Here is an 18,982-nt window from a genome sequence, read left to right as displayed (position 1 = left end):
TTCATCATACCAATATAGGTCGAGTATCCCTTGTCTGAAATGCGTGAGACCAGAAGTATTTAGGATTTCAGACTTTTTTGGACTTTGCAATATTTGCATGCAAATAATAAGGAATCTTGGGGGTGCATTTTTTTTTTTTTTTTTTTTTTTGAGACGGAGTCTCGCTCTGTCGCCCAGGCCGGACTGCGGACTGCAGTGGTGCAATCTCGGCTCACTGCAAGCTCCGCTTCCCAGGTTCACGCCATTCTCCTGCCTCAGCCTCCTGAGTAGCTGGGACTACAGGCGCCCGCCACCGCGCCCGGCTAATTTTTTGTATTTTTAGTAGAGACGGGGTTTCACCTTGTTAGCCAGGATGGTCTCGATCTCCTGACCTCATGATCCACCCGCCTCGGCCTCCCAAAGTGCTGGGATTACAGGCGTGAGCCACCGCGCCCGGCCGGGGGTGCATTTTAACTGCAACCCATCACATAAGGTCTGGTGTAGAATTTTGTACCTGTTGGTGCTCAGACAAATTTTGGATTTTGGAGCACTTCAGATTTCAGATTTTCCAGTTATGGATGCTCAACCTATACTACATCCTCATCAAAGATAACTGCTGTTAGCTGAGTGTGGTGGTACGTGCCTGTAGCCCCAGCTACTCCAGAGACTGAAGTGGGAAGGTTGTTCAAGCCCAAGTTCAAAACTACAGTGAGCTATGATCACATGGCACTCCAGCCTGGGTGACAGAGTAAGAGCTAGTTTCTTTTAAAAAAAAAAAAAAAGAGAGAGAGAGAGAGATAACTGCTGTTAAGATTGGTCTTTATTTGTCCAGGTCTTTTTGAATGCATATAATATAGATTTCCTGAAACTTGCTTCTTTAACAAGGGTATATTGGGTATATTATCATGGGTATATTTCTACTGTTGTATTTTTTTACTTAGAGATGGAGTCTTGCTATGTTGCCCAGGCTGGAGTGCAGTGGCTATTCACATGCACAATCATAGTGCATTACAGACTCAAACTCCTGGGCTTAAGCAATCCTGTCTCAGCCTCCCAAGTAACTGGGACTACAGGCATATGCCACCATGCCTGGCTTTGTACAGTATTTACAGCTCCACCTCATTCTTTTCAATTAGCACACAGTATGCTATAACTACTTCCATACTGACATACATTTAGTTTCTTCAAATATTTCACTAGTAGAACCTCACAATGAATATCCTCACAAGTGATGTGTTCTCTCAGAAGTACAGAGTATTTCTGTTAAATGCATAATTTATTTAATGTCTCCTCTATGATGGTCAGAAGGAATAAACTACTCTGCACAATTTGCCACACTAACTACATTTCATGGCTCTTTCTTTATTATGAATTTTCTTATGTTGCTTAAGGGCTGAACTTCGGGGAAAAGCTTTCCCACATTCATTACATTTATAAGGTTTTTCCCCAGTATGGAGTCTCTGATGTTCAACAAGGCCTGAGCTGTGCCGAAAGGCTTTCCCACATTTCTTACAGTGATAGGGTTTTTCTCCAGTATGAATTCTCTGATGTCCAGTAAGGGTTGAGCTCTTTGTAAAGGCCTTCCCACAGTCACGACACTGATACGGTTTATTTCCACTGTGAGTTTTCTGATGACCAGCAAAGGATGAGCTATACCTGAAAGATTTTCCACATTTACTGCAGTGATAGGGTTTCTCCCCAGTATGCATTCTTTGGTGACTAATAAGAGTTGAGCTCTTCCTAAAGGCTTTTCCACATTCATTACACTGATATGGCTTCTCACCAGTATGGATTTTCTGATGTTCCAACACAGTTGAATTATCCCTGAAAGCTCTCCCACACTTGTTACATTTAAAAGGCTTCTCTCCACTATGTATTCTTTCATGACGAGTAAGAGCTGCATTCTGAGCGAAGGCTTTCCCACAGTCATTACATTTGTAGGGTTTCTGGCCAGTATGAATTCTCTGATGACTTAAAAGGATTGAGTTCTTTCTGAAAGTTTTTCCACATTCAATGCATTTGTGGGGTTTCTCCCTAGAATGAATTCTCTGATGGTTGATAAACGTTGAGTGCTTCTTCAGGAACTTCCCACATTCAATACATCTATAAGGCTGTTTGCCTGCATGAACCTTATGGTGATTTAAAAGGGATGAACTGTTCATAAAGGCGATCCCACATTCTTTACATTTATGTGGTTTCTCACTGGTGTGATTTCTCTGGTGGCTAATAAAGGACGAATTGTATTTGAAGACTTTCCCACATTCCTTGCACTTATAGTTCTTCTCTGTGGAGCTTCTGCCCTCCCAGTCCAGGCCTTTTTCCATCATGACACTTTTCGTTCGCTCTCCCAGAACAGATGCTTCAGAAGTGCTTTGCTTTAGGGCTGACATCTTTGTTTCAAACCAGTAATCCTCGACTGAAAGAAAATTTTAAAAATTCAAATGTTCTTTATGTTGAAATGCTGAAAGTGAGAGTTGTGCAAGGACTTGAATAATGTTCTATTCTACATAACTAAAGGTTATGAAAAATTATTAATGTGTCCCACTTGTGATTCTTGCTGAGAAAAGATGGCCAGACTAAGGGCAGGAAAAGGAAGTATGATTTTAAAGAAAAGAAAAGAATCTGTACTATAAACATTGCATTTAAAGAATGCAGTGAGCCCCTAAGAAGTTGCCAAGTTAGGAAGACAACACAGGAAACAGCTAAAAAAGAAAAAAGACAATGTGAGAATAAATACAAAATTGAGGAGAAAGCCCAGAGTCACAAAGCAAGCTATAATTACTACTAGGGCAGATTTCTGCAGGTGGTATATTTGAGAACATTATGATGTCACCAAGAACTTGAGAAAAATAGTTCTCTGTGAGGATTTAAGAGTGAACCAATATTTAATTGCTCAGTGGAAAAAAGAAAACAGAAAAAATATTCAAGGAACAAAAATAGTTCTCAGGCCAATAAGATTTTACTATAAACTAAATTTTTAACATATCTAAAAAACAACATACCTATGCCAGGCACGGTGGCTCATGCCTGTAATCCCAGCACTTTGGGAGGCCGAGACGGGTGGATTACTTGAGGTCAGGAGTTCGAGCCCAGCCTGGCCAACATGGCAAAACCCTGTCTCTACTAAAAATGCAAAAACTAGCCAGGCATGGTAGCACATGCCTTTAATCCCAGCTACTCGGGAGGCTGAGGCAGGAGAATCGCTTGAACCCGGGAGGCAGAAGTTGCAGTGAGCTGAGATCATGCCACTGCACTCCAGCCTAGGTGACAGAGCAAGACTCTGTCTCAAAAAACAAAAAAAAAATTACCAATCAATGGGTGTACTATGTGAATTTTCTCTAGCTTTTTACAAAGTACAGACACAAGACCTAAGACAGACAGAGCGAAATGATTCAGACAAAAACGTTCTGAAAAACTAATAGAGCCAAACTTGTAGTAAAATTAACAATCACCAACCAATTATTTTACTAAATGCGCTTTTCTTATAAACATAAGTTGTATCTATCTATACCTAAAGATATATACACATACATATATTTATATGTATTTATACTTAGTAGTCTGGGGAGAAATTCCATGCAATGGATATTAGAGCTAAGACTTATTTTTTCAAGGAAATGTAAGTTGAAGGTGAAGCCCAGTCAGAAACAGCCCACATTCTTCCAATGGCCTTTGATGGGATATGTGTTTAATGTATTATGATCAAACTAGAGAAAATTTCAAGATACTGATTGTAAAGCTGGCAACGTGAAGACACATATGGGCACTTCTTCTATGACAAAGGTGGTCTTGCAAAGCAGTGAGGAAGAGGAGATTCTGCATTAGTACATTTTAGGAGAAAAAAAATATATAAACCCTAACTCATATGATGCACAGAAATCCATTCTAAGAGGATGGTAAATGTAAACATAAAAACCAAATAATAAAGCTTCTAGAAATTAACACAGAAGAATATCTTCATGATCTCGGGAAAAGAAAAAATATTAAAATCACAAAAATAATAAATGTTAGTAAATAATTGTTAATATATAATTTAAAATAAACATTTTAAATAAAGCATGACACAAAAAAGCACTGACAAAAAAGAAAGGGATTGATCAAATGGAAGAACTGGGCTGGGCACGGTGGCTCATGCCTGTAATCCCAGCACTTTGGGAGGCTGAGGCAGGAGGATGGCTTGAGGCCAGGAGGTCCAGACCCACCACCTGGGCAACATAGCAAGTCTCCATCTCTACAGAAAAAAAACATGTTTTGAATTAGCTGAGCATGGTGGCATGTGTCTGTAGTCCCAGCTACTCAGGAAGCTGAGACAGGATTGCTTGAGCCCAGAAAAAGGAAGAACTGCTATTCATCAAGACCATTAACAGTCAGTAACAACAGAGAGAGGGATGGTACAATACATGTAATCAATAACAGGCTCTTCAAATAGTTACCCAATCAGAGATGCTCTATAGGGACCAATAAATATTCTAAAAGGTCTTTTTTTTTTTTTTGATACGGAGTCTCACTCTGTCGCCCAGGCTGAGTGCAATGGCGCAATCTCAGCTCACTGCAACCTCCACCTCCCAGGTTCGAGTGATTCTCCTGTCTTAGCTCCCCGAGTAGCTGGGACTACAGGTGTGTGCCACCACACCCAGCTAATTTTTTGTATTTTTAGTAGAGACAGGGCTTCACCATGTTGGCCAGGCTGGTCTCGAACTCCTGACCTCAGGTGATCCGCCCACCTCAGCCTCCCAAAGTGCTGGGATTACAGGCGTGAGCCACCATGCCCAGCCCTAAAATGTCTTTAACCTCATTAGATATAGAGACATGGATATGAAAACCACAATGAGGCACACAGAACATCCACCAGAATGACTAACTTCACAAGATTGACCACAGGAAGTGCTAGCCAGGACATGGAACAAGGAGTGCTCTCACACACTGATGAAGGAGTATAACTGGGAACAAAACTCTGGAAGATTATCTGACATTATATACTAAAGCTGAATACATGCCCAACAGAAATGTAGCCACGTAGGAACCAAAAAATAAAGTATAAGAATGTTTACAGCACTTGCAATAGCCAAAAGCTGGAAAATGCCATATATGCATCTGAATGTAAGAGAGAAACTGCAGTAGAGTCACACAATGAGTCACTCTAGAACAGTGATTTTCCAAGCATGGGCTCCAGCCCCACAGCACCAGCATCAGCATGCCTGAGAACCTGCTGAATAAAGAACTCTGCAGGGGGCCCCGCAACTGTACTGCAGCATGCATTCTGAGGCACGCTACAGTTTTCAGAAGCATTGATCCACAGCAAAGAAATAACTAAAAATGAATTTGAAAACATGTTATGCATAAGCCAGACCAAAAATTATATGTACTATATGATACCATTCACATGAAGTTAAAAACAGGCAAAAATAAACTATAGTGTTAGTTCAAGGGGAGGAGAATGGACAATAATTGGGAGGAATTATAATGTGATTTACTCGGGTATTGCCAAAGTTCTATTTTTTAACCTAAGTTTTGGTTACATGGGTACAGAGTTTTAAAATACTAATTTAGGCTGTATACATATTTTATCAGCTTTTCTATATATGTGTTAATTTTTTTAAAGGCTTTAAGAAAAGGAGAGTCTAGCTTATCAATCTCTTAGTACTTCAATCACAGAAATCAAAACACAAATTGTAAAATATCTAAAAAATGATAATGAAAGCTCTACATACTGTAACCTACTGAATATAACTAAAACATTACATAGACAAAGTTTAAGGCTTTAAATATTTATATTACATCAGTAAGAAAGAAGAAAAATCAATGAATGAATAACTAAAATGTTTAGGAGAAAGTAAATAAACCCAAGGAAAGCAAAAGGGAAAAGGAACTTAAGATTCAAAACACAGAAAACAGTAACACTAATAAATACATCCAAATGCTTTTGTTCAAAAAAATAAAACAGAGCTAATAAAGGGGAAATAGGAAAATATAGGAAATGGAAAAAAGACAAAGTAAGAAATCAGGGAAAAGTAACCAAAGATGTGGAGAATATTACTAAGAGTTATAAAAAGCTACTTTGTTCAACACAAGTAACTTATGACCTTGAATTACTGGATGCTTTTTAGGAAATTATAAATTACTAAAACTGTTTCCTAGAGAGAGAAAATCTATTTGGACAAGTCAGTATTGACAACACTGTCAAAAAAAGTACCCCCAATTCCTCCCCTCTGCTCCACATCACAATAAATAAGCAAAAACGGGACAAAGGACCCAAACCTTTAGGGAACAGCTATCATGTGAGTTAAACTAGACTAAAGGATAAAAATATGAAAGACCAAAAAAATGTTTTATGAAAGTATTACAAAATTAAAATCAAAGCCCAATGAAAATGGGCAGATGAAAAAGAAAACGTAAATACATTTAAGTATCAGTGCAAAAATTTAAATAAAAGATTGGCAGACAGAATCATCCACTGTCATATTCAGAGAATGATATAATGTGTCATGGCCAAGATAAATGAGAATAAAATCTACCACAGAAACAGATCAAAATGGAAAAGACAGATATTTCCATATACCTTGAAAAGGCATTTAATAAAATTCAGCAATCATGCTTGATTTAAAAAACTAAAATTTCTTAACAAAACATGTGAATGAAATACTTCCTTTAAATAACAATGTATGTGTATCCCAACTCAACAGCCAGCTCAAATGAGAAGGCCAGACACAATGCAAAGATGCAAAGACAAGCATATCCATCATTACCTTTGTTAATATAAAGCTGATATAAAACAAACTTTTAAAAAAAATCTGTGATATATATGATATACAATTAATTTCCTGAATGTATAAAGAACCCTTCACACTGACAATAAAAAGACCAACAATCTCACAGTAAAACGGGCAAAGGACTGAACAGGCAGTTCTCAGGAAAGATAAATACAAGGGTTGCTCAAAATGTTGAAACATGCTAAATCACACTCCTGATAAGAGAAAGGCAAATTAAAATTATAATAAAATATTTTCACCTCTCAGATTTGCAAGGATCAAAGCATATAAGACACTGCTGACAAGCTATAAAAGTGGCACTCATATGTTGTCATTAGGAGTATAAACATGTATTATCTTTATGAATAGCGGAAATACCCACCAAATTTGGTGGATTTAAAAATTTTAACCTTTAACAATTCTTATAGGAATTTATTCTATAGATTTACTTGTACACAAGAGAATTGATGTGTATGAGGATAATCACTGCAACATTGTTCAGAGTCATTATGTCCACTAAAGATAACTGATTACATAAATTATAGGACATCCATAAAGTGGAACACTATGCAGGCATCAAAAAGAAAGATAAGCTGGCATGGTGATGCACGCCTGTAATCCCAGTACTTTAGGAAACTGAGGCAAGAGGATTGCTTGAGGCCACGAGTTCCAGACCAGCCTGGGCAAAATAGCGAGATCTCATCTCTACAAAAAAAAATTTAAAAATAAATAAATAAAATTAAAAATAAAAAAATTTAGCCAGGTGTGGTAGCATGCTCCTGTGGTCCCAGCTACTCAGGAGGCTGAGGCAGGAGGATCACTTGAGCCAGGAGGTCAAGGTTGCAGTGAGCCATGATCACACCACTGTACTTCAGCCTAGGAAACAGTGAGACTCTGTCTCCAAAAGAAAGAAAGAAAGAGAGAGAGGAGAGAGAGAGAGAAGCTCTAAACAATATAGTTATGTCAAATGACTTCTAAGACATAAATGCCAAAGTAACAGGCAAAAGAGTGTGCTACCATGTGCTTAAAGAATTCATGGATACTCTCACAAAGTATACATCACACCTACAAATCTCCACAAGAAACTGACACAGGGATGCCTCTGGGGAGGGGAACTGAGTGATGAGAAAGGTATGTGAAGGAGACTGCATACCATTTGAACCATCTGAATGTGGTACCATAAGCATGTCTAACAACTAACAGAAAGGGAAATATACACACACAAAAAAAAACATAAAATACTGACTGGTTGTGAAGTCTTTGTAGAAAGATTTACTAGTCCTCTAAGCAGATGAAAGAAATATTAGGGGAAACATTGCTTGTTTTCATTACATCCAAGTTTTAAACATTCTATTTCAAATAACAACCAAAATTAAAACAGAAAGAACAAAGAATAAAGAAGACTGAGTGACTTTTGTTACTATATAAAGAATCTACACAAGAATTTAGGGGGGAAATGTTAAACACAGTAAGAATAAAAGGAATTACTTCAAAAGCATCCCACCCACAACCAGCAAAGACCTAGGTTAAGCAAGACTATGTATTACTGGTATTTTACATGAAATACAGTTATAAACATTCTCCTGAAGAGGATAGAGGCAAAATGACAATTAGAGTTTTAGAAGAAAAAATACTGGCAGGATAAATATTTTAGGTGAGAGAAATATTCAGGCTTAGAGATTCAGAAATGAACTATGGCACAGAGAAAGTGACATACAAAAACATATACAAAGTATACACAGAAAAAAATGAGAGCCAAGAGCAAAGGACAGTAGAAAAGACAAATAAAAGAAGATCCCTAAGAAAAGGAAAGAAAATGCTTCCCCAACAATGTGTTTGCCAAAAATCGCAATTACCTGAGAGCTAAAAAACCATGCTTATGTTTGGAATCTGCAACTACCACCAGGAAGTGGTATATAGTGAGTTAGCAAGCTTCCATGAGAGAGTGGGTAAGGAATGGAAAATGAACATGGGCCAGACGTGGTGGCTCACACCTGTAATCCCAGCACTTTGAGAGGCCAAGGTGGAAGGACCACTTGAGGCCAGGAGTTCGAGACCAGCCGTGACTAATATAGCGACACTCCATCTCTACATAAAATAAAAATTTAAAAATTAGCCAAGCATTGTGGTGGACGCCTGTAGTCCCAGCTACTCCTACTCAGGGGCCTGAGGCAGGAGGACGGCTTGAGTCCAGACTTTGAGGTTGCAGTGAGCTACAATTACACTCCAGCCTGGGCGACAGGGCGAGACTGTCTCAAAAAATATAAAAAAAAGAAAGAAAGAAAATGGAACAGAAGTAGAAAGAAACAAAAGATACCTGGTGAATGCCTGGAAAGAGAGAGAGAAAAATCACATAAAGAGCTTGAGGATTTCAGAAGGCTGGGAGATGGCACAGATGGGCCTGAGGCCCTCAGGAAGGCAGCAGCCCTCCCAAGTGCAGAAAGACTGGGGAGAAAAGCGGCCAGCCACTTGACAGGAGGATGACATCAAAAGAGGAAACCAGTGCCTTTCTGCACCAACAGGGCACTCAAAGATGAGCTTCCACTCAGGAACCCCCGTACTGCTCCGTGTGCTCAGCTTCTGCTGGGATGTTCCCCACCCACTCACCTGCATGTGTGCCTGATGGAGCCTCTCGCACCTCAGTCCAGGGCTCTGCCCCTTGCTCCAACTGAGTAATTAGTTTTGGTTTGGAAGAGAGAAGCCCTGTTCATAAAGAAAAAGGATCTTAGAGGAAGAAAAAAAAAATGAATGAAAAGGAATGTGATGGCGGTTACAAGCACAAGCAGTCACTCCAGACCTCAGTGTCAACTTGAGCATCTGCAATGAGCATGGACAGGTCAGAGAGGCCTAGAGGGTGGCACCCAGGATGTCCAACTCATGAAGTAAAGCAAAGGGAGGGGGCAAAGTCAACTAGAAAACCAGGTCCTCCTGGAGGACGAGAAACTCCTATTTTGGGAGGCAGATGAATCATGACACAGAAACATTCCAGAACTGGGCTAGTTGGCACCACAAAGCTACCCATCTTAACTCTGTATGGCTCTGACCTTTCTTGAGGGGTGTAAGGGGCATAAACTCCAGCCTCTAAGCCCATACTTAAGAAAAACAAAACAAAAAGCACATCATTTAAGATTTTTTCAATACCCCAAACCATTCACCCTGTGAAAACACAAAGTTGCCCAGCAGACCAATCCTGAGTCAAGGAGAAAGCCATCCTCACCCACAGACACCAGATTCCCATAGTTCTCCAGCATCACATCCCTGTACAGGGCCCGCTGAGCAGCATCCAGGTGTCTCCACTCAATCCGGGTAAAGGCCACAGCCACATCCCCAAATGTCAGCGGTCCCTGCAAAACCAAACCCAATTCTGCTCATCCGGGAACCCCTGAGGGAGGCATCCCAAGAGAAGGAAGCAAGGTGGTCAAAGCCAGCTTCTGACAGTTCCAACAGTGCTCATGGAAACCAACAAGTAAAAGCTGAGGGCTCAGGGGATGTGCGACTCCTCCCTTGAGCAGGTTCTTCCTGCATGCCTGTCCTGCTCCCTCCTCCAGGCCTAGCCTCTGCTCACTCCACCCTTCATGTCACCTCATCAAAAAGGTCTTCTATTTCTCCACCCCATCCTCTGCCACTCAGTCTCGAAACCCATTTCACTTTTCTTCACAGGATTTCTCACCACCTGGCAGGAGAGGTTTGCACTGACTGTCAGCATCCTCTCTAATGTGAGCTCCAGGGGGACAGTGTGGGTCACTGCTGCCTCCCAGTCAAAAACACTGCCTGACACAGAAGTGTTCAAGCTTTATTCAATCAACAAATGAATAGAAACTTTGAAAAGACATGGAAAGTGATTAGCTTTATCCGAGAATTTACAGGGAGTATGATCTGACTCTGGGGCAGAATATTTTTAAAAAAGAAAAAAAAATTGCTTTTCATAAGAGTAACAACTTACTATGTACCAGCCACGGTGCTAAACCCTGAGATACATATCATCTCTCTAAATTTCTGCCGTAACTATATAAAGTAAAATCTATTTCGTAGCTAAAGACACAAAGGTTCAGAGAGTTGGAAGAACTTGCTCAAGGTCCCAGGGCTGGTTGAAGGCACAGTATAAAAGGAAGCCACAAAAAGTGGTAATGAAACTAGAACAAATTGGAATGGCTATGAAATACTAAAAGAAAAAATGAGTAAGCCTTAAAAAAATGAAAAGTGTGTTTCAAATGAAATTACTTGACTTAGAGCAGTAGAAATGTAGGTGATCTTTAATTTTTTTAATTTTATTTGTATAATAGACACTCAAATGTTTATCACTTCCTTTCAAAATACCAATTATTTAATCAGCTTCTCAAAATCCTTCAAAACCTAGTTTTCTCCAGGATAAAAGCAAACTCCAGTCTGGGATTCTAGACCATGAATGTTTCCAACTTTCTCAGACCAGTTTGTTCATGGTCCCGCCATAATGACTTCATTCAGGCAGCGCTTTCCCCTAGTATCCTCTGCAATTATGCAAATCTCATTTATTCTTCAGGAAGAACTAAGGCGCCCACTACTCCACCCCTCCCACCCTACCACACACTAAAGGTCAAGAGAGCACTGCTATCACCCTATGTCTTTATGGCCTACGTCTTTACATGCTAACGTGTATTTTTTTCATCGTCTGCCAGTTTGCAAAGCACTTTTCTGTTTCTAGCACTCTAGAAAACATGGGTAGCAATAATCTACTTGGTGAATGACTACGTAATGGGTAGACAGGACGGAAATCGCGGGACCCATCCAGGATTGGTTCGGGTAGCTTTGTCCACACACAGGGCAGGGCATTGTCCGGGCAAGAGGCATAAACCCCACCTCGCTGAAACACGTGGTTTCTCAAGAAATGGAAAAATCAAACTTGCCTGGATCTGGGCTCTTGGGGCCATCTGTCTCCTGAACTGTTCTCCCAGGCAAGGGCTGAGAATCCTGCGTAAGTCAATCTGGGAAAGAAGAGAGGAAATTGAGGAAGTCCCTCCGTGCCCTAGCCTAGCTAGAATCTGCCCTCTAGACCAGGTCCCCGCCCGCCCGTTCCCTCCACAGGTGGGCAGACAGGTCCAGGTGGGTACGCTCGGGAAGAAAGGAAAGGGAACGGCTGCTGGGATCCGGCCTGGACTGCAGCCAGCTCCACGCCAAACACTTTTGGCAGCACCGGGGGACGGCCTTGTCAGTGGCCCAATCTGTCGGCCGGGGCGCAAGGCTGGAGCGCTCTGTGATGCACCAGCCTCGAGCGGTCGCTCCACACGGCGCAGCCACTGCGGGTGGGCACTGCCCACCGCCGCCTTCCCCTCCCACCCCGGCTCGCCCCTCGACCCGCCCCTGGGAAAGGCGGGGAGCACCCGCCAGGGGCTCGAGGCTTCAGGGACCCAGCCTGACCCCGGCCGCTCACGAACCGAACCGAGCCGGCAGGGCTGCGGAGCTGCACGCCCAGAGAGTCAGCGACCACACCACGCCGTTCGGACAGTAACCACCAGCCAGGGGCTGGTGCAGCGCTCGCACCACGCGGAGACAGGCTGGACCGGAAGCGGAAGTGGCTGAGGCCGCGGAGGCCTCTGGGAAACGTAGTCTGGGCCGCTTGGGGTCTTAGGGGCTCCATCCGCAGAGCAGGTTGGCATCACCTGGGAATCTTTGAAAAGTGAAGGTGCGGGAAGTGGAGAGCGGCTGATCGCAGTCGGGAGGTGATACATTATGACTGACATGCAAAATCTGGTAAAAAATTGGACAGGGCAGTGGGCCGCCTGGAGGCAGTATCCCATACCTCTGACATGCACCGTGGATATGGAGATAGTCCTTCAAAAGCAGGAGCAGCTCCATATGCGCAGGCATTTGACTCGCTGCTTGCCTGCCCTGTGGCAGAGTACTTGAAGATCAGTAAAGAGATTGGGGAAGACGTGCAGAAAGATGTGGAGATGGTACACACAGTTTTGAAGTTGGAGTGAGCTCTCTTGGTTACAGCTTCTCAGTGTCAATAGCCGGCAGGTAATAAGCTTTCCGATCTGTTGGCACCTATCTCAGAGCAGATCAAAGAAGTGATAACCTTTTGGGAGAAGAACCGAGGCAGCAAGTTGTTTAATCAGCTGTCAGCTGTCAGTGAAAGTATCCAGGCCCTAGGCTGGGTGGCTATGGCTCCCAATCCTGGCCCTTATGTGAAAGAAATGAATCATGCTGCTGTGTTTTATACAAACTGAGTCCTTAAAGAGTACAAAGATGTGGATAAGAAGCATGTAGACTGAGTCAAAGCTTATTTAAGTATATGCACAGAGCTGCAGGCTTACATTAAGGAGTTCCATACCACCGGACTGCCTGGAGCAAAACGGGGCCTGTGACAAAAGAACTGAGTGGACTGCCATCTGGACCCTCTGCTGGATCAGCTACTCCTCCCCCACCACCAGGCCCCCCTCCTCCACTAGTCTCTGTCAGTTCAGGCTCAGATGAGTCCGCTTCCCTCTCAGCACTGTTTGCGCAGATTAATCAGGGGGAGAGCATCACACATGCCCTGAAACGTGTATCTGATGACATGAAGACTCACAAGAACCCTACCCTGAAGGCTCAGAGTGGTCCAGTACGCAGTGGCCCCAAGCCATTCTCTGCACCTAAACCCCAAACCAGCCACAAAGAAGGAGCCAGCTGTACTTGAACTGGAGGGCAAGAAGTGGAGAGTGGAAAATCAGGAAAATGTTTCCAATCTGGTGATTGATGACACAGAGCTGAAACAGGCGGCTTACATATACAAGTGTGTCAACACGATGTTGCAAATCAAGGGCAAAATTAACTCCATTACAGTAGATAATTGTAAGAAACTTGGTCTGGTATTCGATGATATGGTGGGCATTGTGGAGATAATCAACAGTAGGGATGTCAAAGTTCAGGTGATGAGTAAAGTGCCAACCATTTCCATCAACAAAACAGATGGCTGCCATGCTTACCTGAGCAAGAATTCCCTGGATTGTGAAATAGCCAGTGCCAAATCTTCTGAGATGAATGTCCTCATTCCTACAGAAGGCGGTGACTTTAATGAATTCCCAGTTCCTGAGCAGTTCAAGACCCTCTGGAATGGGCAGAAGTTTGTCGCCACAGTGACAGAAATTGCTGGATAAGCGAAGTGCCACTGGGTTCTTTGCCCTCCCTTCACACCATGGGATAAATCTGTATCAAGACGGTTCTTTTCTAGATTTCCTCTACCTTTCTGCTCTTAAAACTGCTTCTCTGCTCTGAAAAGCACAGCTACCTGCCTTCACTGAAATATACCTCAGATGTGCAGTGGGATAGCAGGTCAGTTGATCTTCTGCAGGAAGGTGCAGCTTTTCCAAATCAGCTCAACTGCCGACGAGGACTAATGATGCATTTTAGCTTTGAGCTTTGGGGGTTATTCTACCAACAAACAGTCCACTGGGAAGAAAACAGTCCCAGGAATTAACAGATCAGAACGTTCACACTGGTTAATCTTTTTCTGACAATGAGCATGAAGGTAGCAGAAGCTGGTGTGTTTCCAGATGGTTCTTCTAACCAAACTAATTTTTCACTATTGACAAGTGAGGCAAGGATTGCACTGGACCAAAGGCTGAGGCTTGGCCATCTAGCATTCCACGCAAAATTGTTTCCTATAAGCATTCCTTTTATTCACTATTCTATCCTGGGTCTGCCTCAACCATGAGATAGGAGAGTCTCCGGTACTAGCTGCTGTAGCAGTGCCCTTCATCCAGGGCAGTTAAAGGAGTATTCAACCCTTTCTTTCTCTGGGATCCCTGCCCAGCACCTTCCTACAGAGATGAAAAAAAAAAAAAGGAAAAACAACACTCCATTCCAAGGAGTCTGGTATTCCTGAATCCTCCTTCCCTGCTAGGTGCCTGTCACCTGTCTTCACTGCCTCCTTTTCCCTGTCACACTCACCAGCTTATGGCTTCTGTCCAAGCACCTGAACAGGGGACCAAAACCTCCACTGCAAGCTGCTTTTAGGTCTTGATTTATGTAAGAATCTTGCACAGCACTGCTAATGTAAATTTCAGTTTTTTCCCTCTAGGACAAACACTTACCAAAATACGCAACTTTTTTGGTGGGAAGAGAGATTGTCCTGTGATTTCTACCCATTTCCTGATCCTGTGGAAATAAATCTTTATGTACTTAAAGTTATACAGAAAATAGAATGAAATAAATACCAAAAAAAAAAAAAAGCAAAGTGAAGGTACCTGGGTCCCAGCTTCAGAGATTCTGAATTAATTGCCCTAAGTGTGGTCCTGGCATTCGGATTTTTTAAAGCCCCCAAGTGGTTCTAATGTACTGCTTAGGTTGACATCTGCCACCAGAAACTGATACGGAAAGTATGAGAGACATATTTTATGTGCCTTTGGATAGCTATTTGTTTCCAAATAATCCTGTTTTTATTTCATACAAATAAAAAGCATGTTAGAAAAGTACATCACCTAGAACACTAAAAACATTATTTCCTCACTATTTGCTGACATAGAAAATGAAAGTAGGTTGAATCTGTTTTAACAAATGTATTATTTTCTAGGAAAAACATATGTTTCTATTTATTAACTCCAGGAATTGGAAAGCTAAGGGAGGAAAATGTATCTCTCTCATTCAATTAGGGCCTTTTTTTTTAAGAAAATTTCTCAGGATGGTGCATTCATTTACCAATTTACCAGTGATTGACCAAAGGCCCACTGCGTGCTACTCACTTCTGGATGCTAAGGATAGAACAGCTGACAAGCGTCCCTCCTAGACTAAAGTGGAGTCAGGCTCCTTTGCATCCTCCTTTCAACTATGCCTTGTCTTGGCCTGGTGAGCCGAGTTTTAGCCAAGAATCCTACAAAGCCACTTTATCAAGAATCATGGCCAGGCATGGTGGTTCACACCTGTAATCCTAGGACTTTGGGAGGCTGAGGCGGGCGGATTGCCTGAGCTCAGGAGTTCGAGACCAGCCTGGGCAACACAGTGAAACCCCGTCTCTACTAAAATACAAAAGAAATTAGCTAGGCGTGACAGCGTGCGCCTATAGTTCCAGCTACTCAGGAGGCTGAGACAGGAGAATTGCTGGAACCTGGGAGGTGGAGGTTGCAGTGAGCTGACATCGCGCCACTGCATTCCATCCTAGGTGACAGAGTGAGACTCTACAAAAAACAAAAGAATCACACTTTTTCCATCACACTTTTTCCATCCCACTTTTTCCAGCAAGGGCACCTAAGGACCAGTCTTTCCTTACTTTGGGGGCTGGATCCAGAATCTGCATTTATTTATATATGGCTACCATTTGCTGATTCCAGAGGACATGCAGAGCCTTTTACATACATCATTACACTGAGCTCTCACCACCAAAGAAGGTACAATTATTATTCTCATTTTGCAGATGAGGAAATTGGCTCAGAGAACGTAACTTGTCTTTGGTCCCTCACCTAGTAAATAGCAGAGCTGGGTACCAACAGTCATTGTTGGATCCCAAAGCAAAGTTGCCCCCATTGGCTTTCCATCATCCCTCGACTGTCTGAACTCCTTGCCTAACCTGCTGGGCCCTCCACCCTTTCCTGCCTGCTTTGCCATCCTCACCTCTCCCTCGGCCAGAGCTCATGTGGCTCTGCCCCAGCGGCTTCCTTAGCCCCTTGCTCACCAAGCTTCACACCACCTAGGGAGCTGGACCCATGCAGGAGCTGCCCTGGGCTCTTCCTTCTGCTTGCCTAACTTGGGCCCCCACTCTTGTCCTGGCCAACTCCTCTCCATCCTTCCTATCTGAACTAAAATATCAATTTCACTTCTGTGGCCCAAGACTAAGAGACATCCTCTCTTAGTACACTCCACTATAAGTGCTCCTGTGTGGGGCTTGAACAAAGTGTCAATTGCCAGTGGACAGATGTAGGCAGAGCCTGCAGGAGTTACGTCAATCATTTGAAAAGAACATTATTTACTGATAATAGAGATTAAGGACTCAAAATGGGGTGTTGGGAGCAAGCCCCCCAAAATCCGGCCATAAACTGGCCCCAAAACTGGCCATAAACAAAATCTCTGCAGCACTGTAACATGTTCATAATGGCCCTAATGCCCACACTGGAAGGTTGTGGGTTTACGGGAATGAGGACAAGGAACACCTGGCCCGCCCAGGGCAGAAAACAGCTTAAAGGCATTCTTAAGCCACAAACAATAGCATGAGCGACCTGTGCCTTAGGACATGCTCCTGCTGCAGTTAACTAGGGCAACCTGTTCCTTTAATTCGGCCCATCCCTTCGTTTCCCATAAGGGATACTTTTAGTTAATTTAACATCTATAGAAACAATGCTAATGACTGGTTTGCTGCTAATAAATATGTGGGTAAATCTCTGTTCGGGGCTCTCAGCTCTGAAGGCTGTGAGACCCCTGATTTCCCACTTCACACCTCTATATTTCTGTATGTGTGTCTTTAATTCCTCTAGCGCCACTGGGTTAGGGTCTCCCCAGCCGAGCTGGTCTCAGCAATGGGGAGTTCACGGTTTCAATCACTACCAGCTAAAACTTACAAAGAGACAGGCTCTGTGCTAAATGCTTAACTTCCTCACTTCTTTAGCCAGTTGGCAATGTGAAGGGGATGGTGTAATCTGTCCCCATTTTTCAGATGAACTCAAGGCCAAGTGGAGATGTGGTGCTCCAGCCAGTGGGCAGCACCAAGGCTGGCAAGAGGCTGGGCCAGGATGAAGTTTGGACCTTTCCCTGCAGGCAATGGGAAGCCTTGGAAGGTTTTATACAGGATAAGACAGGAACAGGCCTTTTTCTGAAAAGACCACCCTTGGGGGGCCTGGGGTAGTGAGAACTTTAAGGGAAGGGACTCACAGCCAGAAAGGTAAGGAGCACATTGTGAGCACATCCAGTGACCCAGTGAGTACCCTTCCATGGGCTCATCCTAAAGAGATAATCAGCCTAGTGTCCAAAGGTGTGTGTGTGTGAGAACACCAATTAACAAGGAGTATAGTTGTGCACCATCACCCCCAGCTAATTTTTTTACTTTTTTGAGACAGAGTCTCACTCCATCACCCAGGCTGGAGTGCAGTGACCAAGCCAAGGATTCGCCATCAGACTGTACCTGTCTTACCTGTACAAACTAGATAAATTCCTCTCTTCTCTAGGTCTCAAAATATATTGAGGTTCCTGTGCCTGTCAGAAACTGATATCCTTTTTTTTTTTTTTTTAAATTGGAGTCTTGCTCTGTCACCCAGGCTGGAGTGCAGTGGTGCAATCTCAGCTCACTGCAACCTCCGCCTCCCGGGTTCAAGCAATTCTATGACTCAGCCTCCAGAGTAGCTGGGATTACAGGTTCCTGCCACCATGCTTGGCTAATTTTTTTGTATTTTTAGTAGAGACAGGGTTTCACCATCTTGGCCAGGCTGGTCTTAAACTGCTGACCTTGTGATCCACCTGCCTCAGCCTCTGAAAGTGCTGGGATTACAAGCATGAGCCACCATATGTGGCCAGAAACTGATATTCTTTTCTTACCACAAGATCAGGAACTTTATAAGGGAACTGTGTAGACAAGGTACCAGGCCAGTCATTCCCCATGTCTATCGGCTTTATAAGTCAACTTCAGTTATTTAAAGCAGTCTGGTCATATCAGAAAATATGTCATTCCAGTCAAATGGTGGTTTAAAAAAGAAAACAGTGTCTCCACTTGCGTCCTGTTTAAAAAAAATGGATTCTTACTGAGCTTATGCAAATAACTATATTGCCAAAATGTAAGAATACGCACAAATAGTTTCTGAATTCTGGAGAAATCAGGTAGAGAGAAAGGTAAATGTCTCAATCTGCTCCCAAAAGTATATTTTAGGCTGGGTGCAGTGGCTCATGCCTGTAATCCCAGCACTTTGGGAAGCCAAGGAGGGCAGATCACTTGAGGTCAGGAGTTCGAGACCAGCCTGGCCAACATGGTGAAACCCCACTGATAAAAATACAAAAATTAGCTGGGCATGGCGGCAGTCACCTGTAATGCCAGCTACTTGGGAGGCTGAGGCAGGAGAATCACTTGAACCCAGGAGGCAGAGGTTGCAGTGAGCCGAGATCACACCATTGTACTCCAGCCTGGGCAACAAGAGCAAAACTCTGTTTCAAAAAAAAAAAAAAAAAACAGTATATTTTACCCAATTTCTGTGACTTACAAGTAGCTCAAAAGAAATAAAGTTTTCTTGATTCCGCAAAACAAAACATGAAAAGAATCAGCAATGTTTCAAACAAATAGACATAAAAATCATTTCACTCCTCCATCAGTTCAGTCCCATGTA

The 18,982-nt window shown here is 42.9% G+C and overlaps 1 protein-coding gene and 1 pseudogene across 6 annotated transcripts, besides 2 other annotated features; one reads left to right on the top strand and one right to left on the bottom strand.

The window, feature by feature from the left end:
• Positions 1–781: 781 nt before the first annotated feature.
• On the bottom strand, positions 782–12,248 carry ZNF485 (zinc finger protein 485). Of its 6 annotated transcripts, none has more exons than NM_001318140.2 (5): positions 12,123–12,248; positions 11,612–11,689; positions 9,946–10,072; positions 9,336–9,431; positions 782–2,395 (listed from the first exon to the last, which is right to left on the bottom strand). In NM_001318140.2, the coding sequence occupies exons 2-5, from the start codon at positions 11,633–11,635 to the stop codon at positions 1,317–1,319; spliced, it is 1,326 nt and encodes a 441-aa protein (NP_001305069.1). In that variant the 5' UTR covers positions 11,636–11,689; positions 12,123–12,248; the 3' UTR covers positions 782–1,316. The 6 variants fall into 6 exon arrangements, with proteins under 6 accessions (NP_001305069.1, NP_660355.2, NP_001305070.1 ...); NM_145312.4 differs by having other exon boundaries at positions 12,140–12,248; NM_001318141.2 differs by having other exon boundaries at positions 12,145–12,248.
• Positions 11,933–12,212: a silencer, noted in NCBI's record as "silent region_2335". NCBI's record gives its function as "represses an Ori minimal core promoter by ATAC-STARR-seq in GM12878 lymphoblastoid cells {active_cell/tissue: GM12878}" and the evidence as "EXISTENCE:reporter gene assay evidence [ECO:0000049][PMID:35858748]".
• On the top strand, positions 12,389–14,040 carry CAP1P2 (CAP1 pseudogene 2; annotated as a pseudogene).
• Positions 12,493–12,542: an enhancer, noted in NCBI's record as "active region_3304". NCBI's record gives its function as "activates an Ori minimal core promoter by ATAC-STARR-seq in GM12878 lymphoblastoid cells {active_cell/tissue: GM12878}" and the evidence as "EXISTENCE:reporter gene assay evidence [ECO:0000049][PMID:35858748]".
• Positions 14,041–18,982: the final 4,942 nt, after the last annotated feature.

Source organism: Homo sapiens, chromosome 10 (genome assembly GCF_000001405.40).
Source record: "Homo sapiens chromosome 10, GRCh38.p14 Primary Assembly".
Taxonomy (NCBI): Eukaryota; Metazoa; Chordata; class Mammalia; order Primates; family Hominidae; genus Homo; species Homo sapiens.
Note: the sequence above shows the minus strand (reverse complement) of the source record. Positions and strands in the feature narration are given on the sequence as shown.

What these genes read in the sequence shown, in the direction of transcription:
- ZNF485 (NM_001318140.2), bottom strand. Translation starts at nt 11,635, where the DNA reads ATGGCCCCAAGAGCCCAGATCCAG. An exon ending in CCCCAAGAGCCCAGATCCAG is followed by an intron (nt 10,073 to 11,611) that starts GCAAGTTTGATT and finishes TTGGTTTTGCAG; the next exon opens with GGACCGCTGACATTTGGGGA. An exon ending in TGGGAATCTGGTGTCTGTGG is followed by an intron (nt 9,432 to 9,945) that starts GTGAGGATGGCT and finishes CTTTATGAACAG; the next exon opens with GGCTTCTCTCTTCCAAACCA.